The sequence below is a fragment of the Homo sapiens genome, chromosome 4 (genome assembly GCF_000001405.40).
Source record: "Homo sapiens chromosome 4, GRCh38.p14 Primary Assembly".
NCBI classification, from domain to species: domain Eukaryota; kingdom Metazoa; phylum Chordata; class Mammalia; order Primates; family Hominidae; genus Homo; species Homo sapiens.
The window spans coordinates 40,299,016-40,306,403 of record NC_000004.12 but is presented as its reverse complement, the minus strand read 5'-3'; the positions used below and the strand labels follow the sequence as shown (position 1 = coordinate 40,306,403).

At 43.9% G+C, this 7,388-nt stretch overlaps 4 annotated features.

Moving 5' to 3' along the window:
- Positions 620-679: an enhancer, noted in NCBI's record as "active region_21485". NCBI's record gives its function as "activates an Ori minimal core promoter by ATAC-STARR-seq in GM12878 lymphoblastoid cells {active_cell/tissue: GM12878}" and the evidence as "EXISTENCE:reporter gene assay evidence [ECO:0000049][PMID:35858748]".
- Positions 790-889: an enhancer, noted in NCBI's record as "active region_21484". NCBI's record gives its function as "activates an Ori minimal core promoter by ATAC-STARR-seq in GM12878 lymphoblastoid cells {active_cell/tissue: GM12878}" and the evidence as "EXISTENCE:reporter gene assay evidence [ECO:0000049][PMID:35858748]".
- Positions 990-1,049: an enhancer, noted in NCBI's record as "active region_21483". NCBI's record gives its function as "activates an Ori minimal core promoter by ATAC-STARR-seq in GM12878 lymphoblastoid cells {active_cell/tissue: GM12878}" and the evidence as "EXISTENCE:reporter gene assay evidence [ECO:0000049][PMID:35858748]".
- Positions 6,036-6,165: an enhancer, noted in NCBI's record as "active region_21482". NCBI's record gives its function as "activates an Ori minimal core promoter by ATAC-STARR-seq in GM12878 lymphoblastoid cells {active_cell/tissue: GM12878}" and the evidence as "EXISTENCE:reporter gene assay evidence [ECO:0000049][PMID:35858748]".

Here is a 7,388-nt window from a genome sequence, read left to right as displayed (position 1 = left end):
TAGAACCCCTCCCCCACATTCTTTTCTTGCTAGCTTGCCTCCATTACAAACCATCTTCCTCACTCAGATATTTTCAATCCTGGTAGTTTTTGCTTGTTTGTTTGAGACAGGGTTTCACGCTGTCACCCAGGCTGGAGTGCAGTGGTGCAATCATAGCTCACTGCAGCCTTGACCTCCTGGGCTCAAGTGATTCTCCTTCCTCAGCCTCCCAAAGTGCTGGGTTTACAGGCGTGAGCCACTGCACCTGACTTCCCCAGCAGTTTTGACCGTGATCTCATTTGCCTCTTTCTCCTGATTAGGCCAGCATTAGAGCATCCAAGAGGCTGCATAATATGGAATAAACATAGGTCATTAGATTTAAATCAAAATTCTGGCTTTTTACTTCCTAGCGATGCAAGCTTTGTTGAGTTCCTTAACTTTTCTTAGCACTTCTGCTTTTTAAAAAAAGTTGCTATAATACTAAATCGTAGGATTTTTGAGATAACTAAATGAGAAAATGTGCATAAGACTTGCAGCACCTTAAGTGCTCAGTAAATAGCAACTCTTTTTTTCCCGCTTCTATTTCCCAAAATAGTCCTGGCTGGGAAGACTCATTGTCACAGGCTACACTAAATAGTTTGGTATTATTATTACTCAGATTTCATTCAATACTTTCATTCATCATTCTAAGGAACACAATAACATGTCATTTTTGGCATCTGCCTCTGGGGAAGTAATAGCGTCATTTTTTCATAGATCATTTTCATAACTGGCCCTTTGCCCTCACATAATACCACAGGGTGGGCTCAGACCGAAACTGTCAAGATCCTCAATGGTTTCGCACTTAGCACCAGCCTCCGTTGGTCCCTTGGAAACCGGAACAGTACCAACCAAGAAGTTTCTACTTCGCTTCTACTCAGATGGCACTGCCGAGAAAAGGTGGGAGGGCTGCCTGCTCAAGTGTGGCCTTTAAAGACAAAGTGGAGAAGAAAAAGAGGTGAGAATGTGGTGCAGTAGTCTGTGAACCTGAGATATGCAGCGGTGGGAAATAGCGGCCCCTAAGGAGCCATTTGTATAAACCAGTTCACAGCTACATGCAATGTGCCACCTGCAAACAGAGCCTCTGAGACATAGAAAGGGTTTTCCAATATTGCTTTTACCATAGAAAGGATTATGGCTCATCTTGGTTCTCGGTGAAATTTGGTTTGATGCTGCCTGCACAGTTCCAGAGTTTCTTGGTCTAAGCCAGGGGCCACAGGCCCCCTTACAAACAAGATGTTTTCTTTAAGATATAACTGAGGCTGCTGTAAAAATGAGAGATAAAAACAGAACTTTGTTTTTCTTAGGTAAGAGTGTGAGCATAAGCCTTCCAGAGCTGCCATGTGATTCCATGATGTTGGGGATGTAGTTTCTTCCTGTCTTTTTGCTCTAGTATGCTCCATACACAGCTTCCATCTTGTGATAGCACATGGCTGCCCCAGCTGCCACTATCCCATCCACACTCCAACAGGCAGGAAGAAGAACTAGAGCAAGAGAAGACATCCTGCTTTCCATTAAAGGCAGTCTGGAAATTCCAAGCATCAATTCCACAATCATCTCCTTGGCCAGAACTTAGTAACTGGCCCACACCTAGCTGCAAGGGAAGCTGGAATTGTAATCCTAGGGGGACCATCATGAGTCCATCTGGAACATTACTATGGAAGAACAGAATGCAATATTGGGGAACAGCTAGCACTCTGCACAAAGGACTAGACAGGAATATAAACCAGTGATTCTTGCCAGGTGTAAGGACATATGTGTATCTTTTGTGGGCAGTGGAGCACAGAGCAAACAGGGAGAGCCCCATTTTAAGCAGCAGCCCCTTTCACCTTAGATGATGTGGTCATGCAGAAATTCAGGCTCCATGTTCAACTCTGCTGTTTTCAAAAGAAGCCAGGAATCAACATTTTAAAAAATAATGAAATCTTGGCCAGGCACGGTGGCTCATGCTGTAATCCCAGCACTTTGGGAGGCCAAGGCAGGTGGATCACCTGAGGTCAGGAGTTCGAGACCAGTTTGGCCAACACGGAGAAATCCCATCTCCACTAAAAAAAAAAAAAAAAAAAATACAAAAAATTAGCCAGGTGCATTGGCTTACACCAGTAGTCCCAACTACTCGGGAGGCTGAGGCAGGAGGATTGCTTGAACCTGGGAGGCAGAGGTTGCAATGAGCTGAGATGGCACCACTGCACTCCAGCCTGGGCAACAGAGCGAGACTCCTTCTCAAAAAAAATAAAATAAAATAAAATATAAAATAAAAATATAAAATCTTTCCATTTTAGAATGTTGGTTCAATTTTTTTTTTAGATTCTGTGTGGGCCCAACAGATCTGTGGACTGGATATGGCCCAGTAGCTGCCATTTGGGGCTCTATATTGATTCGATTTGCATGAAAATGTCCATTGTGCTTAACTCTGCCTAAAATGCAAAATTTTGGGAATCCAAAATTAGAGTTAAAAGGCAAATAGGCTTAGTAAAGAGCTGTTACCAAGACAAAGCCTTCAAAGTACTTAATTTGTTTGGCTTGTTAGTCGGGCACTGAAACACAAGAAAATCACAAATTGGTTTTGAATGGGTCACAATGTCCAAGTAGTTACTTAACCAGGAAAATGAACTGGAAGAAACTCTCAAGTTCAATTTTTCAACATGTTTCATGTGTGAGATGGAAATGATATGCATGGCAGCCATGCTAATGCCGCTGGATCTCCTGCTGTGGGGAGCGTGATTGATGGTCACCCCGAAGCTGCCTTTCTGGATCCAACACCATGGCTACAGGGAGGCTGCACTTCCTGCCAGCTGCTCCAACCAATGACTGAGCACAGAAGAGGGACAATTCCAATAGTCCACTTTGGCTCCAGGATTCTTTACCAGCCTGGCCAAACCTTTCTTGTAAACTGACTGCAGTCTCAGGCTCCTCCAACCCAATCCTCCTTCCTTCTCTCCTTCCATTTATTTATTTATTTATTTATTTATTTATTTATTTATTTTGATACAAAGTCTTGCTCTGTTGCCCAGGATGGAGTGCAGTGGTGCAATCTCAGCTCACTGCAACCTCCACCTTCCGGGTTCAAGCGATCCTCCTGCCTCAGCCTCCTGAGGAGCTGGTATTACAGGCACCCGCCACCACACCTGGCTAATTTTTGTATTTTTAGTAGAGACAGGGTTTTGCCATGTTGGCCAGGCTGGTCTTGAACTCCTGACCTCAGGTGATCCATCCTCCTCAGCCTCCCAAAGTGCTGAGATTACAGACATGAGCCACCACGCCCGGCCTCCTTCTCTCCTTCCTGGTACAGATGTCAGAACTCCTCTCCCCACTTTCTCTGGCCTCCTCCTTTATCCTTCACAGGTGTGTCCCTCATAAATCTCTTGCACCTCTAATACCATCTTGGCATCTGCTTCTCAGCAGACTCCCAACTAGCACATGATGCTAAAGACAGCAGCAGCGCGTCTAGGGGCTAACTCTGTGCACAGTTCTGAGAATAGAACTAGAGTCTCTGGCAAGAATAATAATCATGGCTAACTTTATAGAGCACATACTGTGTTCTAGTACCATGTATTTCAGCCCTGCATGAGTTGTCTTCACAAAAGTCCTCAGGTAGGTGATGAATTTCTGGTCTCCTGATTTTACAGATGTGGAACTAGGTTAAATAACTTGCTCATCTTCCCACAGGTGGTAGGCAGTGATTCAAACCCAAGTTAATATGGCTCCCCAGCCACTCATACATCAAATATCCATGTACTCCCTTCCCAGTTTTTACTATCTTCAACTATCACCACACTCTATCCTCATGACTTTTATTATTTATGAATAGCACTCATACAATTATTTACTTCCTATTTTTCTTTAAATTAATTGATTTTGAAAACTAGAACATGTTTATTTTAAAAGGAAACACAGTAGCCCTAAGGTAAATGGTAGACTGCTATCCCTTGCCATACATTTAAGGTAATCCTAAAGATAATTATCACAAAGAGAGAGCAATATTGTCAAATTTTATTTAGACAATATTATAACATTTAACTAGACACTATATCTAACTAAAGACTAATTCCAAGGTCTGCACTCACTTTGGTTTTGTTATGTATAAAGGGAGAGAAGTAGATGTTAGGTGTTAAAGATAGCTTCAAACGAAGACTTTTTCTTGACAAAACCAGAAAGATTGAAAACATTTGAAAAGGGACTAACTTTCTCAGTGTGTGACTCAATGCTCTTGATCCTTTGTATCCCTAAAATCCTCTTGTCGGGGTACAATTTGGGAACTAACGACTGATATGAATATGGAGAATGCTCATTTGAATAAGGAAAAATTGTATAGAATTGTCCCAAAAGAAAATAAAATCAATTTCATTACTCTCCAACCTCAACTGGTTCTCCATAACACAACTGTGCACCCTGGTTTATCTAGAGGGTGCAATCTTTTTAAAAGTAAAACAAACCGGAGCCTGCAGCACAAGTGAACCCTGCCTTTTTGGCAGGTGTATCCGGTAGAGAAACAAAACACCGCTCTGTGGTTAGGCTACTGGTGCTCTGGAGTTCAGCACATTCACAAATCAGCCTGTCTGGGAGGGGGCTCAACCACACACATAGACCCAGGGCCTTTGTAAAAATATCTCCCAGCCTCTTTGGGTTCGGAAGACAGTGCTGATCCGGAGCTGAGCAACAGCGACAGGCAAGTGTGGGCCACCCCACCTGCCTGGCTGTGCACTGGGCCCTTTCCAGCCCCAGCCATCATGTTACTTATATAGACAACAGATAAAATCCTACTGCACCGATTGCAGAGCTTGGCTGCAGTATAGACACATTTCAAGAAGTCATACCCCACTGTCCAGGGTTTAACCCCAAAAGACAAGACCAATATCTAGTCACTCTGTGAATTAGACAGTGTTTTGAGTCCCATAAGAAGGTGGAGAGGGTTTCTCACCAACCCTCCTTTCTGCCTCTGTGTTCCTCAGTCAGTTTCCATGATGTATCATTTGTATTTGGATTGCTGAGTGGTCGGCAGATTTAATTGGCTCTGGAAGTAGAGAAAGGACTGGGATGCCACGTGGAGAAGTGTTTCCTCTGTTCATCCACAAGAAGTCCCAGTCTAGGCCAGGCGCGGTGGCACATGCCTGTAATCCCAGCTCTTTGGGAGGCTGAGATTAGGACTTCGAGACCAGCCTGGCCGACATTGTGAAACCCCATCTCTACTCAAAATAAATAAACAAATTAGCCAGGAGTGGTGGCAGGCACCTATAATCCCAACTGCTTGGGAGGCTGAGGCAGGATAATTGCTTGAACCCAGGAGGCAGAGGTCGCAGTGAGTCAAGATCGTGCCACTGCACTCCAGCCTAGGCAACAGAGTGAGACTTGGTCTCAAAAAAAAAAAAAAAAGGTCCCAGTCTTGTGCCCATTTTGCAGATGGGAACTCAGAGGCTGAAATGAGTCACTGAATGCTGAGGTCTGACAGCAGGTCTCTGGCAGTTCCTTATGCTGTATTTCCTTAGACCTCTGGATTTCTGGCATATTATTCTTTTGAGTAAATCACTACCCCCACCTGACATAAATCGTAAAGAAGGAGAAATAATTAATACTTGCCAAATACTAAATACCTTAAATAGCTCCCATTTAATGCTAAAACCCCATGAGGTTGAGATATATATATGTTTATCGTCTCCCCTCTACCAAAGAGGAAATTGAAATACAAAGAGGTTGTCGAAGATTGCCCAAAGCGAGGAATCAAGCCCAAGTAGTCTGACCTCAGTGTTCAAACTCAAAATCACTATGCTGCCGTCTGAGGCAAATATACCTGCATTCAAATCCAGGCTCTATCTACTAGTAGAGATGTGTGTCTTGAGCAAATCCCTTGACCATTCTGGCCAGATGGTCACTTTACATATGTCCATCTTCTCATATGTAAAAATGGATAAAAATATTCCTTACCACTTACGGCTGGTAAGAAGAGAAGTTAAATGAGGTAATGCAGGTACCATGCTTTGCATGGTGTCCCGCTTGCAGGAAGAGCTCAATAAATGGTAAGTATTATTAGCAACATCATCATATCCCAAAGGATCAGCCACCTCTCTGTGGCTGATCTGGGCAGGGGAAGCCCACAAGACAGAGAAAAACTCATCCTCCTCAAGTGGTCTTTCCCCTTCAAAGCTGCATGCCCCACGCATGTGCAGGGGGCCCTACAAAACACTTTCAGAGCCATCAAGGATGTTTGGAGACAGTGACAAAATCCAGGAGATAGATGGCATCATAGACCTCTGAGAACCAGTCAGTGTGCTGAAGATCTACATGTGCCCCAGGACATTTCAGAGAATGAGTTCACTGTGAGCAGTGAACTGAGGAATGCCCACTCCTTGATGAGAACCATAAAGTTTGCAGAAATTCTACATATAATGGTTTTAAAACCGGTCTCAAAATTCTTTGACTCTGCCCACAATGAGAGGTGCGGTCCAATTCCCTTACCCTTGAATATGGGCTGGGCTTAGTGACACTGGGTGACTTCCAAAGTTACATTACAAAGGATATTTACCTTGGCTATCTCTCAGGATGCTTGCTTTTCAATTCTGCCTCCCATGGTAGGAGGAAACTCACGTGACAATGGAGAGGTTGGGTATAGGTGCTCTGGTCCTCAGTCCCAGGAGAAGTCCTAATGAACAAGCCAGACTTTGGGATGACCCCAGCCTCAGTCACGATCTGACTGCACCTCATGAGAGGCTCCAAGTGAGAACCACTTCCTGAACCCAATCAATAAGAAATAATTATTGTGTTTGCCTCTAAGTTTGGAGTCGTTTGTTATACTGCAATAAATACTTGGAACACTCATTTTTATTAATTTATTTTAAAATAGGCTGGGTGCAGTGGCTCATGCCTATAATCCCAACATGTTGGGAGGCCAAGGCAGGAGGATCGCTTGAGCCTAGGAGTTTGAGACCACCTGAACAACATAGAGAGAACCCCATCTCTAGAAAAAATTTTAAAAAAATTAGCTACGCGTGGTGGCACACACCTGTGGTCCCAGCTACTCCGGAGGCTGAAGCAGGAGGCTTGCTTTTGTCCAGAGACTTGAGGCTGCAGTAAGCCGTGATGGCAGCACTGTGCCCTAGCATGGGCAACAGAGCAAGACCCTTTCTCTTAATAAATTAAGTAAGTGAAATAAAAATAACTGTAATAAGAACTAGAAATAGGAGTCACTTTATGCTTTCTCCTGAGGAAAAAGTGGCGAGGTAGCCTTCCATTGGAATAAGCCTGAGAAGTATTCTTTAGCTCCCTAAGCCATCAAAACTAGGAAAGCTTTGTCATGGATTGACCCTTGAAGGCCTCTTTGAAGCAAGACTGGGGCCAATAGAGAAGCAGAGCCTGATCCCTAGGCAGGTGCAGCA